Source organism: Homo sapiens, chromosome 15 (assembly GCF_000001405.40).
Source record: "Homo sapiens chromosome 15, GRCh38.p14 Primary Assembly".
Classification (NCBI taxonomy): domain Eukaryota; kingdom Metazoa; phylum Chordata; class Mammalia; order Primates; family Hominidae; genus Homo; species Homo sapiens.
Window position 1 is genome coordinate 58,721,092 of NC_000015.10, and position 24,576 is coordinate 58,745,667.

Here is a 24,576-nt window from a genome sequence, read left to right on the forward strand (position 1 = left end):
GCTGTTCTGAAGCACTCATGACAAAAGCTCAACGATTTACACAGCTGAAATTCTACTGGGAGAGTTATTAAACAAAGTCATCTTTTCTCTGTCCCACACACAAATTTTATAAAAGCAACATACTATTCACTTTCACTGGCAAAAGACCTGAGTAATGATTTTCTGAATCTTTGTAATTGAGATAGAACATGATTCATAGGGTTTAATTGGGAAAGCTAAAAACACTTCCCCGGGACACACAGTTACCAAGTCCATCTCATTATCATCTTCTATATAAGACCTATGAATGTTTATCTTAATTATGCCTAAATATCAGTATTTGTGTAATCTCAGTACTGTGGGAAAAAAACTTATATTAAGATAATGTATGAAATTGAATTACATAATTTCTATTCCCTAATACTTAATGAAGAGGGAAATAAGGGGGCCATGGGTAGAGGATAAAGCAGCCTACCTGCCCCTCTGCCCCCACCCCACACACACATAGAACAAACTTCAAGAACTGAAATCAGGTCAGATGCAGTAGCTCACACCTGTAATCCCAATACTTTGAGAGGCCAGAGTGGGAGGATCACTTGAGTCCAGGAGTTCAAGACCAGCCTAGGCAACATAGAAAGGCCCCTGTCTCTACAAAAAATTAAAAATTAGCCAGGTGGCCGGGTGTGGTAGTTCACACCTGTAGTCCCAGCACTTTGGGAGGCTGAGGGGGGTGAATCGCTTGAGGTCAGGAGTTCAAGACTAGCCTGGCCAACATGGTGAAACCCCACCTCTGCTAAAAATACAAAAAATAGCTGGGCATGGTGGCAGGTGCCTGTAATCCCAGCTACTCGGGAGGCTGAGGCAGGAGAATCGTTTGAACCCGGGAGGCGAAGGTTACGGTGAGCCAAAACCGCACCATTGCAATCCAGCCTGGGTGACAAGAGCAAAACTCTGTCTGAAATAATAAATATATATATGTAAATAATAGGCCGGGCACGGTGGCTCATGCCTGTAATCCCAGCACTTTGGAAGGCCGAGGCGAGTGGATCACCTGAGGTCAAGAGTTCAAGGCCAGCCTGGCCAACATGGTGAAACCCCCGTCTCCACTAAAAATAACAAAACTTAGCCTGGCGTGATGGCATGCATCTATAACACCAGCTACTCAAGAGGCTGAGGCAGGAGAATCACTTGAACCCGGAAGGTGGAGGGTGCAGTGAGCCAAGATCGCACCACTGCACTTCAGCCTGGGCAAGAAGAGCAAAACTCTGTCACAAAAAATAATAATAAGTAAAAATAAATAAATAAATAATACAAAAAAACTAGCCAGGAATGATGGCATGCACCTGTAATCCAAGCTACCCAAGAGGCTGAGGGAGTATCACTTAATCCCAAGAGTTCAAGGCCACAGTGAGCTATGATAACGGCCAGTGCACTCCAGCCTAGATGACAGAGACCCTATCTCAAAAAAAAAAAAAAGAAAAGAACTGAAATCAAATAAAAAAAGATAAGCAATTTGGCTGATACATGCTCATGAGTGTCAGTTCCCTTCCCAACTTCATGCTCTGTAACATTATGTTTGTAGCTTGAAATCAGCCATGAAGGGAGTATTTACACCACCATGGAAACTGACATTGAAAAGGCTACAAATTTGAGAACTTTTTTTTTTTTTTTTTTTTTTTGAGACAAGGTCTGACTTTGTTGCCCAGGCTGGAGTGCAGTAGCACTATCAAGGCTCACTGTAGCCTTGACCTCCAGGGCTCAGGTGATTCTCCTACATCAGCCTTCCCAGTAGCTCAGGCTACAGGCACGCACCACTATGCCTGGCTAACTTTTGTATTTCTTGTAGAGACAGGGTCTCACTGTGTTGACCAGGCTGGTCTCAAACTCCTGGGCTCAAGCGATCCTCCTGCCTCAGCCTCCCAAAGTGCTGGGATTACAGGTGTGAGCCACCATACCCAGCCAAATCAGAGGATTTTTTTTTTCTTTTTTCAAGACAGTGTGCTAAATACAACACTGGTCATAACCTAATAATATAATCTTTCAAACAGGCAGCCAAGGAATGAAATAATATTTTAATGAAAATGTAGGAAAGCATGGCACACTGGACTTCTGATGTTGCCCCTAGCCCTCAGATGCCACACAATTCACTTATTTAAAAATCTCAAGAGAATGGGAGTCCTGGAATTCTCAAAAAAATTATATATGATCACAGCCCCGTGACTGCAGAAACGTGAATAAAACACAAAATAATCAGCCCCTCAAACTAAGATTGGAAGGCGGAAAAAAAATACACTGGTCTCAGAGGCAGAAAGAAAAGAAAAAAGAAATCACAAGCCGGGTGTGGTGGCTCATGCCTGTAATCCCAACAATTTGGGAAGCTGAGGTGGGTAGATCACCTGAGGTCAGGAGTTTGAGACCAGCCTGGCCAACAGAGTGGTGAAACCATAGTGAAACCCATAGTCTCTACTAAAAATACAAAAAAAAATTAGCCTGCCGTGGTGACTGACGCCTGTAATCCCAGCTACTTGGGAGACTAAGGCAGGAGAATCTCTTGAACCCGGGAGACGGAGGTTGCAGTGAGCCAAGGTCACGCCACTGCTCTCCAGCCTGGGCAACAACAGTGAGCCTCCACCTCAAAAAATAAAAAATAAAAAATAAACTCACCCACTTTATATCATAGCAAAAAGAATAACTGGGTAGAGAAGAGACACACAACCATGAACATAACATTGTAAAAACACACTGGAGAAAAAAACCATGAAAGAAACAATAAAAGGAAAATAGAAAAAGAATCCAATTGAGAAGAAAACAAACGACATTTGGAAACAATCCTAGACAAAGCAGAATCAGTCTTAGATTATATTAAGAAATTCATATTGGCCAGACGTGATGGCTCACACCTGTAATCCCAGCACTATGGGAGGCCGAGGCAGGTGGATCACCCAAGGTCAGGAGTTCAAGACCAGCCTGGCCAACATGGTGAAACCCTGTCTCCACTCGGGAGGCTGAGGCAGGAGAATTGCTTGAACCCGGGAGGCAGAAGTTACAGTGAGCCGAAATCGTGCCATTGCACTCCAGCCTAGGCAACAGAGCAAGACTCCGTCTCAAAAAAAAAAAAAGAAAGAAATTCATATTAATTTTCCTTAGTACAACAACATTGTTATTATAAGGAGAAGGTTCTAAATTTTGGGAGGTTCATTTTAAATATTTAAGGGTAAAATGACACGATGTCCATAACTCACACTAGACAGATTCTAGGGTGGGAGGCAGGGTAAAAAAGAAAAAAATATGCAAATTATTAAATCACTAGCTACTTCAGGAGTAATAGAGACTGAATTTAGCCTACCACCATAAACAATTAGAAAACTAGATAAAAGATGTGACAAGAGAAACAAATGAAGTGAGATCTACTACAACTGGCCCAGCTTACTGCCTGTAAGCAGTCTCCAGGCCAAATGACAGGGAGAAGAAACCAAGAGCCTGAAGTTTCCACTTAATTGAGACAACCTCTGAGTTCAGGGAGATCAGGTATTTAGAATCTATGTGCCAGAGTGTCAGAAAGGAGGAAGCTGAACAGAGAGAGAGCTCCAGCCACCTCAAGTGGGGGTTCCCTAAGGGTTTGGCTGACTACTGATCTAAGCATGTGAGAAAATAAACTCCCGCCTCAGAAAAAATGAACCACCAGTAGAAGGAAGCAAAACAATCCTCAAAGCTCACACAGGGCTGGAAAATGTTCATATTTCTACCATCTAGAGAAGAAAGACCTTGTAATGTATGGAGCATTGCTACAGTCCTCAGAAAAATAACACCTTACTAGTGGAGTGAAATTAGCCACAGAGCCTGGGCACGGTGGTTCATACCTATAATCCCAACACTTTGGGAGGCCAAGGCGGGTGGATTGCTTGAGCCCAGGAGTTCAAGACGAGCCTGGGCAACATGACCAAACCCTGTCTCTACTAAATATAAAAACTAGCTGGGCACAGTGGCACATGCCTACAGTCCCAGCTACTCGAGAGGCTGAGGTAGGAGGATTGCTTGAAGCCCAGGAAGTCAAAGCTGCAGTAAGCTATGATCGTGCCACCACACTCCAGCCTGGGCAACAGAGCAAGACCCTGTCTCAAACAAAATAAATAAATAAATAAATCGTATTTATTATATGAATATAAAAAATAAAAGAAAATTAGGCATGGTAGTGCATGCCTGCAGTCCCAGCACTTTGGGAGGCTAAGGCAGGAGGACTGTTCAAGGCCAAGAAGTTCAAGATCAGCTGGGCAATATAGCAAGACCTTGTCTCTACCAAAAAAAAAAAAAAAAAGTAAAAATTAGCCAGGAATACTTTTTATTGCACACCTGTAATCCCAGCTATTCAGGAGGCTGAGGCAGGAGGTTCGCTTGAGCCCAGGAGTCCAAGGTTGCAGTGAGCTATGATCACAACAGCCTCAGCAACAAAGTGAGACCCTGTCTCAAAAATAAAAATTAAAATTAAAAATATAAATAAATAAACAAAAACCACATAAAGGCATGTCATAAGCTAATGACTAAAAACTAGGGAGAAAAAAAAATTCTTAAAATCATCTGTGGGTAGGGAAGCACTAAAGGAGCCAGAAAAAAAAGACACATTTTATAAACAGAGGAACAAAGATAAAACTGACAGCACACTCTATGTTAAGTCAGAAGAAAATGCAGCCACATATTTAAAGTACTACAAGAAAAAAAGAACTCTATCAACCTAAGATTCTATAGCCAGTGAAAATAACTTTCACAAATGAAGGTGAGAAGAGGAGGTGAAACGAAGCCCTTCTGGGCTTCAAAGCTTACAATGCATCACTAGTAGCCTCCATTAATAGAAATGATAAAGTTTTTCAGATAGAAGGAATAATACCAGATGGAAACCTACACTGATGCAAATAATAAAAGTGACAGAAATAATGAATATATAAGAAAATAAAAAGGATTTATTTTCTCATTTTTAATCTCTTTCAAAGTTAAGCGAATACATTTTTTAAACACACAATCTACTGTGGAATTTATGACACACAGAATTAAAATGTGTAACAATAACAGCACAACAGAAAACAGAGGAGAAACACAGTGTACATATACTCCATATGAAGTGAAGTAATATTATTTGAAAGTATACAGTGATAAGTTATAGATATTGTACACTGAACAACCTCTAAAAAATACAACAGGTATATCATCATAAAGCCAATAGCAGAGATAAAATTGAATCATTTTTAAAAGTTTATATTGAGAGGCCAAGGCGGGTGGATCACTTGAAGCGAGGAGTTCGAGACCAGCCTGGCCAACATGGTGAAACCCCATCTCTACTAAAAATACAAAAATTAATGGGGCATGGTGGCAGGTGCATGTAATCCCAGCTACTCAGGAGGCTAAGGCATGAGAATCGCTTAAACGCAGGAGGCAGAGGTTGCAGTGAGCCGAGATCGCGCCACTACACTCCAGCCTGGGCGACAGAGCGAGACCTCAGTCTCCCAAAAAAAAAAAAAAAAAAAAAAAAAGTATATTACTCCCGAAAAATGCAAGAAAAGAGGGGGACAAGAACTATGAACAGATGGAAAACAAATAGAAAGATGACAGTTTAAAACTCAGCCATATGAATAATTACATTAAAAGTAAATGATCCAGCTGAGTACATTAGTGTGCACCTGTGGTCCCAGCTACTCAGGAGAGTGAGGTGGGAGGACTGCTTGAGCCCAAGTTTGGGGCTGCAATGCACTATGATCACATTTGTGAACGGCCACTGCATTCCAACCTGGACAACAGAGAGAGATCTCCATCTCCGAAGGGGAGGGGAGAGGAGGGGAGGGGAGGGGAGGGGAGAGGGAAAAGGAGAAGACGAAGGGGAAGGGGAAGAGCAAGCAGAAGGGAAAGTAAATGATCTAACATAACAATTAAAAGGCAAAAGCTGTCATTTCGCTTTTTGATTTTTAAGAGACAGGGTCTCACTCATTGCCCAGGCTGGAGTGTGGTGACGTGATCATAGCTCATTGTACCCTCAACCTCCTAGCTTCAAGCAACCCAGTCACCTTAGCCTTCTGAGTAACTGGAAACTGGTGCACCACCATGCCATGCCTGACTAATCTTTTTTTTTTTTTTTTTTTTTTTTTTTTTCCCAAAAACAGCGTTTCGCTCGTTGCCCAGGCCGTAGCGCAACGGCGCAATCTCGGCTCACTGCAACCTCTGCCTCCCAGGTTCAAGTGATTCTCCTGCCTAAGCCTCCCCAGTAGCTGGGATTACAGGCATGCACCACCACACCCAGCTAATTTTTGTATTTTTAGCAGAGACAGGGTTTTGCCATGTTGGCCAGGTTGGTCTCAGACCCCTGACCTCAAGTGATCTAACCACCTCGGCCTCCCAAAGTGCTGGGATTACAGGTGTGAGCCACCGCGCCCAGCCTGGCTAATCTTTCTTATTTTTTGTAGAAATGGGGACTCGCTATGTTGTCTAGGCTGGTCTCAAACACCTGGTATTAAGTAATCCTACTGGCTTGGCCTCCCGAAGTTCTGGGATTACAGGCATGAGATGACACGCCAGCCTTGTTATTTTTTAAAAAAGGAAAATGTAAATATATGCTAACAGACACAAAAATAAAGATGAGTTAAAGTAAAAAGGACGGGAAAATATATAACATCCAAACCCTAATCCAAAGAAAGCTGGAGTGGCTACAGTAATAGCTGAAAAAACAAACTTCAAAACAAAACAAAAAAAATTATGAGGGATAAAGAGGGACATTTCCTAATTCAAGAAGAAAACACAACAAGCCTAAGTATTTATGTACATAAAAAAAGCTTCAAAGTATGTGAAGAAAAAGTTGATAGAACAGAAAAAAGCAGACTCTGTAACTAGAGTTGGAAATCATACCACTCCTTTCTGAACAAGCAGACAAAAAAATCAGTAAGATTATTAAAAACTTAAACACAAAGAACTTGACTAGATAGATAGAATATATTTCTTTTTAAGGGCACATGGAACAGTCACAAAGATAGACCTTAATCCTAGGCCACAAAGCACGTTTCCACAAATTTTAAAAGACTAAAATCTAAGAGTATGTTTTCTGACTACAGGAGAATTAAGCCAATAACAGATATGCAGAAAATCCCCAAATATTAGGAATTTACATTTCTAAGTAGTTCATGGGTCAAAGAAGAAATCAAATGGAAATTAGAAAGTATTTTGAGTTGACTGCAAATAGCCCAGGGAGCTTTTTGGATTGATATAAATGTTCTATGATTATGGAGGTAGTTATACAAGTAAATATACTTCTCAAAATTTATGAATTCGTACACTTAAAAAATTGTTGAATTTTATTGTATGTAAACTATACCTCAATAAAGCTGACTAGATTTTTTTTTAAATAAAAATATTGAGGCCAGGTGTGGTGGCTCACACCTATAAGCCCAGCATTTTGGGAGGCCAAAGAAGACAGCTTAAGGTGAGGCATTCGAGACCAGCCTGGGCAACATAGCGAGATTCCATCTCTATTTTTTAAAAAAAAAGAAAAGAAAAAAGAAAAATGTTGCAGCAAAGTGGTAGGTATATGGGTTTCTGGCCTTCCTACTTTTTCCCTAAGATATAAAATTTATAAAGTTACAAAAGTTATAAAATTTCCCTAAGTTACAAAATTTTTTAAAATCCAGGATCAAAAACAAAGACAAATCAAAAAGAGAATTCAAAATATTCCAAGTTATCTTCTCAGTAAAATAAATGAATTAACATTCTACCTACTTCCAATACTAAGCAGCCTGTAATGATTCAATATTCCTACATAACTGTAGTTTGCTAATAGGACATAAGTAGTAAGAGATGGGGAAATAAAAGATTAAATGACAACCAGTGACCACAGGTCTTAAAAGAACATTGGGGGAAACCAACATCAAGGCAAAATATCCATTGAGAAAACAGCAACTAAGCCATTTTCAAGAACTTCTTAGAAGACCAGAAGGTCCAATTCAACACTGAATCTAAAATAAAAGAAAATATGAGCCATGTGCAGTGGCTCACACATGTAATCCCAGCACTTTGGGAGGCTAAGGCAGAAGAACTGCTTGAGCCCAGGAGTTTGAAACCAGCCTGGGCAACATAGCGAGACCCTGTCTCTATTTTTTAAAAAAAAGAAAGAAAAGAAAATATGGAGGCCTACTACTCACTATGTGTTCAACTAACAAGTTCTTTCAACTACTATCACTGAGACTGGAAATTGTGTTTATGGATGTTTAAGTCTTTATCCAATTAAATCTTGTTCCGTATCTAGCATTTTACAATTTTCTGAACACAGAATCTTGTTAATTCAAACTGTTTTTCAGCGACTAACAGCATAGGTATCTCCGGGGAAAGTGTTAGCAATGCAGAATCCTAGGCTCCCAGCAGATCTACTGACCCCACAAATGACTCAGGCTCTACCCCAGACTACCCCAGAGTGATCTGTATGCACATTCAAGTTTGAGAAGCACTGTAACCTTTCTTCATTCAGAAATTCCGTGACTTCTACCAGCAGCTATACAGGTTGAGTATCCAAAAATCTGAAATCCAAAATGTTCCAAAATCTAAAATTTTTTGAGCTCCAACATGATGCTGAAAAGAAAAGCTCAGCCAGGCGCAGGGGCTCACGCTTGTAATCCCAGCACTTTGGGAGGCCAAGGCAGGCGGATCACTTGAGGTCAGGAGTTTGAGACAGCCTGGCCAACATGGCGAAACACCGTCTCTAGTAAAAATACAAAATTAGCCAGGAGTGGTGGCACACCCCTGTAATCCCAGCTACTTGGAAGGCTGAGGCAGAAGAACCGCTTGAACCCAGGAGGCGGAGGCTGCGGCGAGCCAAGACCGTGCCACTGTACTCCAGCGTAAGCAACAGAACGAGGCTCTGTAAAAAAAAACAAAAACAAAAACAAAAACAAAACAAACAAACAAACAAAAAAAAAAACTCATTGAAGCACTTTAGATTTTCACATTAGGAAATCGTAAGCATAATGCAAATATTCCCAAAATCGGAAAATTTAAAGATCCAAAACACTTTTGGTTCCAAGTATTTCAAATAAGGATACTCAACCTGTATATCCTTATTTCTACACACTTGCTTTAATGTAAGCATTTAACAATACATTAATAGGGATAGGTACACCATGGGTGCTACCATTTAAGCAAAAAATACCTCAACTGATGTCTCAGGCAATATACTGAGTAGAAAAAGTTTCCAAATAACGTAGAAGAAGGGTTGGCAAACTGTTACCCAAAGGCCAGTTCCAGCTGGCCACCTGTTTTTACAACACTGCTATGCTCATTCATTTACATATTTTCTATCTCTGCTTTCACACAACAGCAGAGTTGAATAAGCGAAGTATTACAAAATGTTACAGAACAGGTATTAAATCTTTGGTAAGTCACTTAAACACTTAGTTTCATCCTACAAAATGTTACAGAACAGGTATCAAATCTTTGGTAAGTCACTTAAACACTTAGTTTCATCTGCCTTTGGTTATAATTCACCTTTTTTTCCTCTACAAGAGGAATACTAACCTGAAATCCACAAACCTCTGTGTTAGTTAATTTTAGGTGTCAACTTGACTAGATTAAGGAAGACCTAGAGAGCTGGTAAAGCATTATTTCTGGATGTGTCTCTGAGGGTGCTTCCAGTGAAGACTGGCGGGTGGAGTGGTGGGCTGACTGGGGAAGATCCACCTGCACTGTGGGCAGGCACCATCCAATTGGCTAAAGGCCAGGAAAAAAACAAAAAGGTGGAGGAAAAGAAAATTCTCCCTCTCTTTCCCCTCGGGACATCAGGACTCCAGCCTCTGCGGCCTTCAGCCTCAGACAGAGTTAAAATATCAGCTTCCCTGGTTCCCAGACATTAAGACTAAAATGAGCCATACTACCAGCATCCTAGGGTCTCCAGCTTGCAGACTGCCTATCATGGGACTTTTCAGTCTGTATAATCGTGTAAGCCAATTCCCCTAATAAATCCTCTCTCATGTATCTATCTGTACATATGTATATCCTATTGGTTCTGTCTCTCTGGAAAACCCTCACTGATAGAGTCAGTCCTCTGTATTCATGGGTTCTGCATTAGTGGAATTCAACCAACTGTGGATTCAAAATACTGAAGGGGAAAAAAAATCCACAAAGTTCCAAAAGACAAAACCTGAATTTGCTGTACACTGAGTACTATGCTGAATCCACACAAATGAAGTGCTGGCATTATATTAAGTATTATAAGAAATCTGGAGATGGTTTAAAGTATATGGGAGGGGCCAGGTGCAGTGGCTCACACCTGTAATCCTAACACTTTGGGGGGCCGAGGCGGGCAGATCGCTTAAACCCAGGAATTAGAGACCAGCCTGGGCAACATAGCAAAGCCCCGTCTCAACAACAACAAAAAAAATACAAAAAACTAGCCAGGTGTGGTGGCACACACTTGTTGTCCCAGCTGCTCAAGAGGCTGAGGTGGGAGAATCACCTGAGCCCACGAAGTCGAGGCTGGGGTTAGCCGTATTCACACCACTGCACTCCAGCCTGAGTGAGAGAGTGAGACCCTGTCTCAAAAAAATAAAAAAATTAAAATTCAAGTATGAGAGGGCATTTTGCAGTGAGGCTCAGAAGGCAACAAGCACCCTGAGGTGACCCCACCCAAGGTAACTGGTATGGAGTGGAGGATGAACATGCACCTTCCAAGCAGGGTGTTTCTTTAAGAGTGTCACAGGTGAGAATTCCTAAGGCAGGTCAGAAAGCCCACCCCATGACATGTGCGGCCTGGTCTTGAAAGACGTTTTTCCATCTAGCTGGACAAGGGGAACATTCTCTGAATAGCAACCACACACATGTGAGTCATGGGGTGGAGACTTCTGGTTCACTGTAACCTAGACCAGATTCAGAGGCAGCAGACAGAAATCTTCTAGAAGGAAAAGAGCCTGGTGTTTGTGAAGATCTGCAGATCCTACATGTCAAAGAAGGTTTTCACTAGCAGGAAGGGTGGAAAATACTTCTTGAATAGCTTTGAAGTTTTCAAGCACCAGGCCCCTCCCAATGGGGAAGAAGCCACACCAAAGTACTGAGAGTAGGGAGGCCTTTCACACTGGACAAAGGGGCTGCAAGTGCAGTGATGTGGGAAAGCCTTCAACTGCAAAGATAAACTTGTTCAGCAACAGAAAATCCATGACGGAGTAAAGCCTTAGGAGTGTGGTGAATGTGGAGAAAACCTTTAGTCACAACTCCTACTTTACAGTACAAAGAAGAATTCACAGCAAAGAAATACCTTATAAATGCAGTGATTGCGGGAAATTATTTGGCTCCACCTCCAACCCTCATACTTTAAAGAGGTCATACAAAGAATGAGCTTAAAGCCAGGCATGGTGGCTCATGCCTGTAATTCCAGCACTTTGGGAGGTTGAGGAGGGCAGATCACCTGAGGTCAGGGGTTCGAGACCAGCCTGACCAACATGGTGAAACCCCGTCTCTACTAAAAATACAAAAATTAGCCAGGCATGGTGGTACACACCTGTAGTCCCAGCTACTTGGGTGGCTGAGGCAGGAAAATCACTTGAACCCAGGAAGGCGGAGGTTGCAGTGAGCCGAGATCTTGCTGTTGCACTCCAGCATGGGCAACAGAGCAAGACTCCATCTCAAAAAAAAAAAAAAAAAGAGTGAGCTTAATGTGATAAATCCTTTATTAGAAGATCCTATCTTGTTCAGCAGCAGAGAATTCATAGTGGAGAAAGGCCTTATGAGTGCAGATCATGTGACAAGTCTTTTTATCTATAAAGACACATTTGTTGAGCACCAGAAAGTTCACACTGGAAAAGAGACTTCTAAGTGTTGTAAATGTGGAAAATTCTTCAGCCACAATTCCTATCTTACAGCATATAAGAGAATTCGTGATGGAACAAGGCCTTATGTATGCAGGAAATATGGGAATGCAGAAACTTCCACCTTGCTTGGCACATGAAAGTTCACACAGAGAAAGGCCTTATAAATGTAGAAGTGTAGCGGATGTAAAAAAGCATACAGTCAAGGCCTAACCTCATTAGGCATTAGAGTTCACACTGGACAGAGGCCTTAAGAGTGCATGGCAGATGTTGTCTCATTGTTCAAAATAGCATGATCATAAAAGAGAAGAGCTGACAGTGACCTCTGAATGTGAGCTGTCAGCCAGAAGTTGAACTGCTCCATCTATCCACAATGTAGAGATTACCTACAACTAGGTGAGTGAACAAAACCTGGTGGTTCTTCATCCCCTCCCTCAGAGTGGTTTCAGTGTGGAAATGACCCAGCTCCTGCCCAAAAGACCTGGGTTGGGGTCTGCTGTGGATTTCCAGAGGTCCCCCTTTTTTGTGGACAATGGTAGCTGAGATGGATTTGTCTAGCCAGTTTCCGAATCAGCCAATCCTGGAACTGCCTGCCTCATTCTACCCTGATTTGTGCAGATAAAGGCCTTATTGTTTAACCCTTTAAAACAAAAATAAAGTACAGGGAAGGATGTGCACAGGTTATATGCAAATAGTATACCTTTTTATATAAGGGACTTGAGCATTCATGGAACCAATCCCCATAGATACTGAGGGAGAAACTGCATAACCTCTATAGGGGATTCATGAGCCCCTAAATTTTGCAGGCAAAATTCCAAAAATATTCTTTATTTTCTTTCTTGGCCTTTTATTGGTTCTGCTTTGCATATTTAAATCTTTTATTCATCTATTTATAATTTTATCTGTTTTTTAACTTACTACACTAACTAGGAGTACCAAACCATGCTGAATAACAAGTGTAGGCATGTTCACTTTGTCCCTGACTTTAATAGAATATCTTTAGTTTTTCATTACATTATATATATATATATAAAAATAATATTACACTAAGGCTGTTGCTTCTCATTCTTGTTTTAGAAATCCAATATATTCAAATTCACATTAAAATCTGGCTAACAAACATTTTTAAATGATTTTTTAAGTTTCACATTTCACATATTTAAAGGGGAAAAATTAAAAATCCCAAACTATATATCCTATTTTATTTTTAAAAGTATCCTAATTTCTTAAATGTACCCTGAAATCTTACCATGTACAGAACAATATCCTGATTACATCAATTTCTTGTTTAACTAAATTAAACAATAATGCTTATAAATTGGATGTCATGATAATTAAAATGTATCAAGCACTTGCTATCTGCCAGGCTCTGTACTGCTCTACATTTTTTTCATTTAAACCACCCAATCAAGTGAGAACTATTAGCCCATTTTAAAGAAAACTGAGGTTTGAGTGATATGTAACAAACCCAGTGTCACATAGCAAACAGGAGGCAGTGCCAAGAACTCAACTTTGATTTCAATGATTTCATGTTAATCTACGATGAGTCGAATTACCTTCATCATAAACAAGGTAAGTCACCATATTTCTGATATGACAAAAAACTGAAAAGACAGCCTGGGCAAGATGGCAAAACGCCATCTCTACAACAAATACAAAAATCAGCCGGGCACGGTGGCATGCACCTGTCATCCCAGCTACTTGGGGGGTTGAGGTGGGAGGATCGCTTGAACCTGGGAAGTAGAGGCCGCAGTGAGCCAAGATCGTGCCACTGCAATGCAGCCTGGGTGACAAAGTGAGACCCTGTCTCAAAATTAAAAAAAAAAAAAACTGAAAAGAAAAAAAATTATCAAAATACAGCACATGGCAAAAACCTTTCAAAAACTAAACTGACGTCTACCTCTAAGATGGGGAAAACAAGCAATGCAATACTAAAGAAGAATATACTTCTTATAGACAGAAAAATATACATATACATATACCCTTGATTTCCACAGCTAGTGATTGAAATGGGCATGGTTTACTCCACAGGAGCCCTGACTAATCTTCAACCCTTGTACTGCTTACTACCTCAGTCAGACATCACAAAATTGCCTGTTCCCACATGCAGAGACTGGACCTATCAACTGAGATTTATTTCTAAACTTTAGCAATCAGTCAAGAGCTCAGAAAGTATAGATAGAGCATGTGGTATCATCAAATCTCACTGAAACATGTTAACTATTCACCCATCTCTATCTGAACACAGCTTGGCCTCTGACCCACTCACCTTTGTATCTGGGAATCTCTCCTTGTTATAGATCTTCCTGATTCCCTAGTTCCAAGCTGCCTAATCGTTTACTCCGATTCCTTATCACCTACTCTATCCTGATCCTTACTACTTGCTAGACTCTCCCAGTCCAGGTTCTTTCATCACTATTAGATATATTACCTACGCAGGACAAAACGAACAACAAGTAAGGACTCAAAGAATGCCAATCTTAATTCCTAATTTTATCCCTCCTGATAAAGAATAAAATAAAATTGTCCCTTGGTATCCCTGGGGGGTTGGTTCAAGGACTTCCCACAGATATCCAAATCCATTGATGCTCAAATCCCTGACAAAATGACGCGGTATTTGCATACAACCTATGCACATACCCATGTATATTTTAAATAATCTCTAGACTACTTATAATACACAATACAATGTAAATCCTATATAAATAGTTGTTGTACTGTGTTGTGTAGGGAATAATAACAAGAAAAAAGTCTGTACATGTTAAGTACAGACTCAATTTCATTTTTTGAATTTTTTCATTCGTGGTTGGTTTAATCCATGAATACAAAATTCACAGACACAGAGGGTCAACTGGTATTTACTAATCTGCCTTTTAAAAATTTATTTTTCCTAATCACAGAAGTGCGTTATGAATCTTACTACCCAGCAAGTTGGTATCTGTTCTCTAAAATGATTACATATATATTTATCTATGAAAAAACTGAAATGGTTTTATACATACTTACAAAAGGCATTTTCACATAAAGACTTTAACAGTGGAGAAATACATGCTACCTGACAATGATGAAAATAAAATACATTTAACCTAGAGGACAATAAAATGTTACTAATCTGACATCAATGGAAAATGACAGCTTCCACTAAGGACAGTTTCTAGGTAATTATATCTTGCTAAATATCTTTCTATTTGATGGATGATTAATTTTCCTCCTACTCTAACATGTTCTTGTTAAGCCAGGCTTATCCTTATTAACATCTTCACCAGAAGAGGCCATAATGATGCAGTAACCTCAAGGCTATGTTATTGTGCTATTATTCCTACATAAAAACAGCTCCACCCTACAAGATAGTTACTCTGCAAAGTCAACGTCTTCTCCTTTCTCTTCTGTTACTTTATTTCACCTACACAGAAAAGCGCACCAACAGCATTTAACTTTCTTGTTCTCAGTTTTAGTTGCCAAAAAGCTAGCATATATTACAGTCACATGGTACTTAATACTTATAAGCCCCATGGGAAATCTGAAAAGCATATACTACAAAGCATATACTACAGTCACATGGCACCTAATACTTATAAGCCCCATGGGAAATTTGAACATCTCCACACTTAAGAAAAAAATCTCCTTAGTTATGTAGCAGAATGTCCTTACTTTTATGAAATGCAAGCATACTGAAGTATTTAGAGTACAACTTATTTTCAAATGAAACAGAGGGAAAAAAATAATATATTATTAAAAAGAGAGTAAATGTGGTAAAGGTAACCATTCATAAATTCAGGTGAAAGGCATACAAATATTAACTACTAGCATACCTGCAATCTTTTAGAAAGTATAAAAATTTTCAAGAATTAAAAAAAGAAACACAGTATATCGAAAAAAGCCTCTATGTAAAACTGCCAGAAGAATAACTAGATTGGATCTACGAGATAGAGAAAACAGATCCTTTATCAAATTTTATGTAATCCTAGCACTTTGGGAAGTCGAAAGTGATTGTTTAGGAGGATCACTTTAGCTCGGGAGTTCAAGACCAGCCTGGGCAACACAGTAACACCCCATCTCTAGTTTTTTTTTAAGGGGGAAGACTAAGTAATACCAAAAAATCACATGCAAGAGTGGCAGAAAAATGACCAGCAGGTTCTAAGAAATAGAAAAAACATAACTTGGCCTCCTTGTCACAGGAGAGCTTAGGAGAGCTCTCCCTTTTTACAATTTGAGAACAGTATTTTTATTTCCCTTAATTTTTCTCAAAGTCGCCAGGATACTGGTATTTACCAATCCGCCTTTTAAAAAATTATTTTTCCTAATCACAGAAGTGCATTATGAATCTTACTACCCAGAAAATTGGTATCTGTTCTCTAAAAATGATTACATATATATTTATCTATGACAAAACTGAAATGGTTTTATGCGTGTTCTTTCTGTAAGCTGCTTTTCTCCCCTCAAATGTAAACATTTTTTCACATCCAAAAAATAAAATACCTTCTATAAAGAACCTGACTGACTAAAAGGCAAATTCTTCAAATACTGTAAGTACAAAGAACCTAAATTACGCTTTAAGGGTAAAATTAGCCTACATGTAAAGGCAAGATCTGGCTTCCCTCAACTGATAACTACTATTTGACTTTCCTGACTCTGGATAAGTAACCCTCCCTGATCCTCCTCTCTCATTTATAAAATGAAAATAACAACACGTATCTCATAGAGATGCTGTGAAGACCAAGTTAATATATGATACACAAAATGATCTAACAACAGTGCCTGGCATTAAGTACCCCAACAAATGCCAGCCATTGTGATTTTTTTCCATATTCCATGGGTAGGTAGCATCTTACTTCCCAAGTACCCTTCTAAGCAAAAGCTTCCTTCCCAATCCTTGAACCCAAAACTTACAATCTTCTGTTCCAATCTACTAAATTAAAGAATTGTGCAAAAAAATACGGAATGAAAATTTCATTAACATCAGGAGAAAAAACAAAGAATAACTCTCTGATAGTGGGTCACCATCATCACCTTGGTGTGAGACAGAAATATCATATAACAAGCAAGTTTTTTCCTATCTATACCCAAAAAGTTGGCTATACAATCTTAAGAATGGGAGAGGAAAATCTGCAATAATGTTTTGATATTACAGATCTTCCTATTTACAGAAAAACTCAATTACAATAAATGAGAGGATATAAGAGTAAGCTAAGCATGGCATATTTGCATTCCTCAAAAAAAATTACTTGTAATCAACTTGTTTTCAACAGACTTTTCACTTGCATAATTTCAAAATGAGGTACCAACAGCATTTTTCCCCAACATAAAAATATATTTCCTTCCTACTGAGTCATCAACTACATGTCATAGGCATCATACTGTGTTGACCAATGCTTCCTTTATTTGATAATACATATTCACTCAGATCTTCAGGCACTAAATACCACTAACAAAACTGTTCTCCTGTATGACAAAGGTAGGCTTCCAGGAACTATCATGCCCTATATTCCAGCAATATATTTAAGTGCCTTTAATGCACTCTTTGAAAAGCTACTTCTACAATGTGAATTCAAACTTAAGCCAGTACCTATTTTTTCACTAGAAATCAGTCAAATCATCTTCTAGAAGCAAACAGCTACACCTAACAGTTACAAGTTAAAGTTCAAGATAGGAGGGAGTGTCTACAATTAAAAGCCTATTTCAACATACCCACTTTTTGAAATCAGCTAGTCTCTAAGAAGTAAAAATAACACAAGCTGGCTCAGAAGTCTAAGTAGCTCTTTTATAAATTATATACAAAGGGCTGAAAACACGAATGATTAAAATCTATTGAATGTATTAAATTTATACCACTAACTTATGAAATACAATTTAAAAATCAAAAAATTGAAATGTGTACGTAAGATTTCTATGCTGATTTGAAATTCTTTTATACAATCTTTTTTTATTCTTTTTTTCTGAACCTGTGGGTTATATTGAATCTTTTATACAATTTCTAATAAGACACAAGTACAGACAGTAATAGAGTATGACTTTCAACCTGCCTACATCACTTTCACACTCACACAGCCACCACCTCACTTTTGATATACATCTGTCCCACTCCCTGCATTTCATCTTAAACCCATTGTCATTAACTCACCCTTTTCCCATAAGATATCCCAAAACATCCGCCACTGCCCCTAGCTGAGAACCACTATGCCAAAGCTTGCTCTACATTAAAGAAAAAGGGCTCCTCCCTACTAAATGGCCTACTGCTCCTAGAGATCATGGAGTTACTAAGAGATTTCTGCTACTGGATGGATACAAGTGAATTTTATGGGCTACCAAGAAAATTTATAAATTCTTAAATTTTGGGCCGGGCGCGGTGGCTCACGCCTGTAATCCCAGCACTTTGGGAGGCCAAGGCAGGTGAATCACGAGGTCAGGAGATTGAGACCATCCTGGCTAACATGGTGAAACCCCGTCTCTACCAAAAATACAAAAAAAAAAAAAAAAATTAGCCAGGCATGGTGGCAGGTGCTTGTAGTCCCAGCTACTCGGGAGGCTGAGGCAGAAGAACGGCATGAACCTGGGAGGCGGAGCTGGCAGTGAGCCGAGATAGCACCACTGCACTCCAGCCGGGGTGACAGAGCGAGACTCCGTCTCAAAAAAATAAATAAATAAATAAATAAATATTTTCAAAAAATAAATTCTTAAATTTTATAAATTCTTGCCAAAATTAAATTCTGATTTCCGAACCAATTTATAAGCATCAGTGCCAATCCATCTCCAAAGCTGTCAACAAAACTGTCCTCTCCGTTATGCTAGATTAGAATACCTAACCTTTATAATACACATTTGAGGGTTCTGATAATATGCTGTACTAATTGGAGGAGGTCACTTTCTAATTTTACTACAGCAATATTCCAATTTTAACAAAAATCATTATGACATTCAGTTTCATGTAATGAGACTATTTCCATAATATAGCTGACAGCCAGTACCATGAAGGCTGCTTCACTAATGCCAATATCTGCTGAATGAAAACGGGTGCATAACATGTATCCAGAAGTCCAGTCCACTTCCTAAGCAATGTATTTAACAATTCTGTAGTCTTAATAACACATATTATAAAATCCTAATGTGAGTGAGACACTGTGCTAGGTCCTAAAACATGAAGACTAAGAATAAAGTTACTTCCCTCTTAACATTGTCTTTCTAGTGAAGACACAGATCAGTAACTTAACTATAAAGCTTGAAATAAAGAACAGCAATATCAAAGCTCGGCATGGTGGCTCATGCCTGTAATCCCAAAACTTTGGGAGGCTGAAGGAGGATCACTTGAGGTCTAGAGTTCGAGGCCAGCCTGGCCAACATGGTGAAACCCCGTCTCTACTAAAAATACAAAAATGAGAAGGGCCTGGTGGCAAGTGCCTGTAGTCCCAGCTACTCGGAGGCTGAGGCACAAAAATCGCTTAAACCCAGAAGGCAGGGGCTGCAGTGAGCCAAGATCGCACCACTGCATTCCAGCCTGGGCATCAGCGCGAGACTCTGTCTCTAGGGAAGAAAAAAAAAAAAGAACAGCAATATCTATAAAATAGAAAAAATATGGTATAAACAGGAATGACATGATTTCATTTTTTACTACTTATACATATCTCAGTGTCTGCTTTGCATACTTATGCGTTTTAACTACACTTTACATTTTTCTTGTATTTATTTATTTATTTTTGGCATAGAAACAGGGTCTTGCTATGTTAACCAGGCTGGTCTCAGACTCCTGGCCTAAACTAATCCTCCGAGCTTAGCTTCCCAAAGTGCTGGGATCACAGACATGAGCCACCACACCCAGCCATTAACTATACATTAGTTTTTTAAAGGTATACAGAACTACACAAATACTATAAATTCGTAATAGGCATTTTAAAAGACTACATGATTAATATTAAAAAGTGATAAAATTGTGTTGAAGGAGGAATTACGGATTTTCTTTAATTCTATTTTCTAATGTTTGGTAATGATGTTCTAATATTCCAACTACTAAAAATAGATTTTATCCATCTGTATTTTGTAACTAATAGATTCCAAATGAAAGCAGGTCTGGAAACGACATAATTTTAATAATATTTATATAGTACTTTAAAGTCTTTAGCACTTTTACAAATTATCCCACTTAATTCCTAGGAAAAGGGGTAGTAAATTAATACCCCATCAAATCATAGAGAATTCTATGTGTTCTTTTGAAAGCTAAATTCAAAGTTCAAATGTATGCACACGTGTGTCCTGCCATCATCAATACAAGCAAAAACAGATGGTAAGCAAATTCTGCTCCACAAATCACATATGCAAATTTGCCTAAAATGCAAAGATCGCATTATTTTCCCCTATTTGTCTTGGAAACAGAAGTTCATAGTTCACATGAAATCAAGAGTGTCAATCATATTTTTGAACTGAATAGCCTAATTCCAACTTAAGTAAGAAAAAAAAGTGTTAGTATATCTTTAAACTAATCTCTATCTCCACTCCAAATTCACTAAACTTCTATAATCCAGCTACCTAAAGCACTGCTTCCCAAATAACTAGCCAGAGATTAAAGATCTATGCAAAGTTTTATCCAGTTCCCAAGTATTAGCATGCAAATAAAATAAAATCCCAGACGCTGACACCCATCCCAACCTATAAGCTTCTATCCAGACTCAAAATCTTAAGACATTTTCAACTTCAACGACTGAGGTCTTCAAAGTTTTATAAAACCACACTCACTCCAATGAAACAGCCTAATATTTAAATTCAACAGAGTGAGCCCTCTATAAGTTTTGTTACTTTCACGTTAAACATTTGCCCAGTTTTATCAGTTTTTCTTCCATGTCATTTCTTGTTCTATCCTTACTTATTTCTACGATCATTCTAATCCAAGACTCAATCACCCAATTTGTCAATCATAACCTAACTCCTCAACAGGGACTCCACCCAACAGTCCATAATATTCTATCTCATAGTTATCATGGCCTAGAATAATCAGTCCTGATTATCATGGCCCAGTTAGCAATTCTCCTTATTTCCTGACACAGACTATCGATTCCAGGCAAGTAAACCTACAAGCATCTTATGTGTCATTCTCTTCCACCTCAGAAAGCCTTCCCCGCTTGCTGATGTCCCTCAAGCTTAACAAATCCTCATTTCAGGTGCAACTACAATATATAATTGGAAGTATATTTTTATATTTTGGCATTTCATTTACTCCAACAAACTCAGTATTTTTTACTTTTCTTCTCACTTAATACTGTGGCTTCACGACTCCTAACAGTCATAGACACATAATAAATCCTGGTGACTAAACAGCAATGTTCTCACTGTATACATCTCACATTGTTTACTTGCAGTAGTACAAGTGGACTGTATGTATGTTAACCAACTTACTATGATTCGTATTTTTCAATCTTATGATGGGTTGTGACATAACCCCACATTAAGTGGAGGAGAGCTCCTTAAAACTTAAATGGGGTTACAGTTTCTACTGCACGTGTATCACTTTCTCACCATCACAAAGTTGAAAAATCATACACTGAACCATCATCTCTGTTGCCAACATTACATACATTTTCGACTTACGATATTTTCAACTTATGATGAGTCAAGGAGCATCTGTAGTAGCTTCAAAATGAATTCACTCAGCATCAAAGGGAGACTACATTCCCTGAGAAATATTCTCAGCACCGCTATTTCCTGCAAACTAGCTGGGTCAGGCTATCCTAATACTAACGCAAAATCTTCACATTGCTGGACAGCAACGTCACTGCCCTTACAGGAATCCAAGTGGTAGGGTTATTATAGTTTTTCCACTTGTCCTTAACATTGCTTCCTTTTTCCTAATATAAAAATCAACAGCTAGACTACTTAGAATTACCACTGCTAGATTTTTGTTCAGAACAAGCAGAGTTTTTAGGGTTGCTTGGAAGAGCATTAACGATCATTAATTAAATCAATTACTCCTTTAGAAAACAACAACACAGCCTGGGCAACATAGTGAGACCTCATCTCTACAAAAAAATCAAAAAATTAACCAGGCATGGTGGCGTGTGCCTGTGGTCCCAGCTATGGAGAGGCTGAGGTTGGAGAATTGCTTGAGCTGCAGAGGTCAAGGCTGCAGTGAGCTGACATCACACCACTGTACTTCAACCTGGGCAACAGAAAGAGACCTTGTCTCAAAAACAAACAAAACAACAACAAAAACCTGGGCCTCTTTACCCCAGCATGTCACATAGAGCTGCCCGTGTAAAAACCAAATGAAATGCAAATCATTCCTACAATTTGGAAGGCCTGCCCCTGTGATTTTGGGCTTCGGTGGCGGGGGGCGGGGGTTCAGATTTGAAATCACTATGTGTTTTTCTGTCTGCAGCCTTTCCTATCCACAATTTATCTCACATAGGCCTCTCACTGAAACTTTGTGTTGGCAGCAGTGGCCAATGACTGCCCTTGCCCACAACCTTCTCCACACAAACTACATTTCTGGTACTCCACATAGACCATATTTTAAGCTAGACCCTTCCAAAACAATGCCCCAACTTTAGCAAATTTTTTTCTAACCATTATAATGTAATACAATTAAAGACAGACAAGAAATTTAACTTTATACAAATGTAAAAATCACCAAAATGGTAACACAGTTGCTGTAACACAGCTACTTACTAGAAACCAGCACAGTACCATAAGCCCCTGTCATCTACCTTTCACTGACTTTCCTTTAAACAAAATACTTTTTTTTTTTTTTGAGACGGAGTTTCACTCTTGTCGCCCAGGCTAGAGTGCAGTGGTGCGATCTCAGCTCACTGCAACCTCCACCTCCCGGGTTCAAGCGATTCTCCTGCCTCAGCTTCCTGAGTAGCTGGGATTACAGGCGCCTGCCACCACACCAAGCTAATTTTTTGTATTTTTAGTAGAGAGGGGGTTTCGCCATGTTGGGCAGGCTTGTCTCGAACTCCTGACCTTTCAGGTGATCCGCCTGCCTCAGCCTCCCAAAGTGCCGGGATTACAGGCGTAAGCCACTGTGTCTGGCCAACACTTTTTCTTAATTCACAATTTCTATTCCTGTAGAAAATATTACAGTTGGACATTTTAGAGTATGTTTAATACCAATAATCTAGTATATTAGTATAAAACCAGAGTACTCATGATTTAGCTCTAGGACACGATCTATCTGCAACCTAATGAGAATACATTTTATTTGCTGTACCTGCCTGGTTATTCATCAGTTTTTTCTCTCCATTCTTCCCTGTCTAACTGTAACTAGCAAAACACATTAGTACCACATCATTCCAACTGTTTAGAAAGTTACGATCCAGGCAACCTCAATGCTAAACTCTACAAAGCCAAGCTATACATATTGAAAGGTGAGGGGTAGGGGTGGGGGGCAGGGAGAAAGAAAAAACTACCTAAAGCCCATGTACTTCATTCCACAGAAGATTTAGAATTTATTTATTTCATTTCACATGCAAGCATGTTTCTCAAATATAATTATTTAGTTTTCCTACATAAAACATACTAGAAACAACCAATTAGAAGGTAACATCTTCAAAGTTTACAAGAAAGCAAAGAAACCTAACCAAAAAGTTGGAAATATTGCTACAACTAGATCCAAGAATAAAATCCACAATCATCTAGAATAAATTTAGAAAAATAATAAACTACCAGGCCATTTCAGTCATTTCTGGAAAAATTAAAAACAGAAACTACAATAGAACCCAGAATAACAACTGTTCTCCATATTAAACTTCAATCATGTAAGGTTAAATTCAGTCCATTTTAAGGAGATAGTAAATGTGTCTACAGTAAATTTTCCACATTTTAGAAAAACTTCCATCAAAAACACCCAAAACTGGCCAGGCACAGTGGCTTACACCTGTAATCCCAGCACTTTGGGAGGCCAGGGTTGGAGAATTGCTTAAAGCCAAGAGTTCAAGACCAGCTTGGGCAACCTAGTGAGACCTCATCTCTAACCAAGACCAACAACAACAACAACAAAAACACAAAAAATTTACAATTGTATTCCCAGCGGGGCGCAGTGGCTCATGCATGTAATCCCAGCACTTTGGGAGGCCAAGGCGGGCAGATCACCTGAAGTCAGGAGTTCGAGACCAGTCTGGCCAATATGGTGAAACCCCGTCTCTAGTAAAAATACAAAAATTAGCCAGGCGTGGTGGTGCGCACCTGTAGTCCTAGCTACTCTGGAGGCTGAGGCAGAAGAATCGCTTGAACCTGGCAGACGGAGGTTGCAGTGAGCCAAGATCGTGCCACTGCACTCCAGCCTGGGTGACAGAGCGAGATTCCATCTCAAAAAAATAAAAGTGTATTCCCAGAGTTTGTTATATGGACATCATCTCATATCTGAACCACTGATCTGCCAACAATGTTAGGAAAATGTAGCTAATTGCTGAAGTTATTGTTCCTCCATTTCATCACCTTAATTTCAAAAGCAGAGTTTATGTTTGTATCCTATTCTTAAATTGGTTTTTATTAATATGACCCTCAACTAATTTTTTCTGTGGTTCTCATCCCAGTAGAAAAAGAAATGGTTTCTTACTTACCCATTTAGATAAAGAAATGTGGAGAGACTGTAACGATCATTCTATATTAAAGACCTTCAAGCTGCTACTATTATGAAAACGGGTTTTTTTAAAAAACATCTAATAACCTAATGCTGAATAAAAAGTATTGTGTATACCATGTTCTTTTTAAACAAATCTTTAAGACTACAGAGAAAACATTGCAAAAAAATATTAAAAGTTGGATAAGGGGTCACAGTCAAACATTTTTTAAA

General features: G+C 39.1%; 1 protein-coding gene across 2 annotated transcripts in view, besides 1 other annotated feature; it reads right to left on the bottom strand.

Annotated features, from left to right (window-relative positions):
- Positions 1-24,576, bottom strand: part of ADAM10 (ADAM metallopeptidase domain 10) — a 160,899-nt gene that overhangs the window by 132,283 nt on the left and 4,040 nt on the right. The window lies entirely within an intron of this gene.
- Positions 3,272-3,491: an enhancer, noted in NCBI's record as "active region_9476". NCBI's record gives its function as "activates an Ori minimal core promoter by ATAC-STARR-seq in GM12878 lymphoblastoid cells {active_cell/tissue: GM12878}" and the evidence as "EXISTENCE:reporter gene assay evidence [ECO:0000049][PMID:35858748]".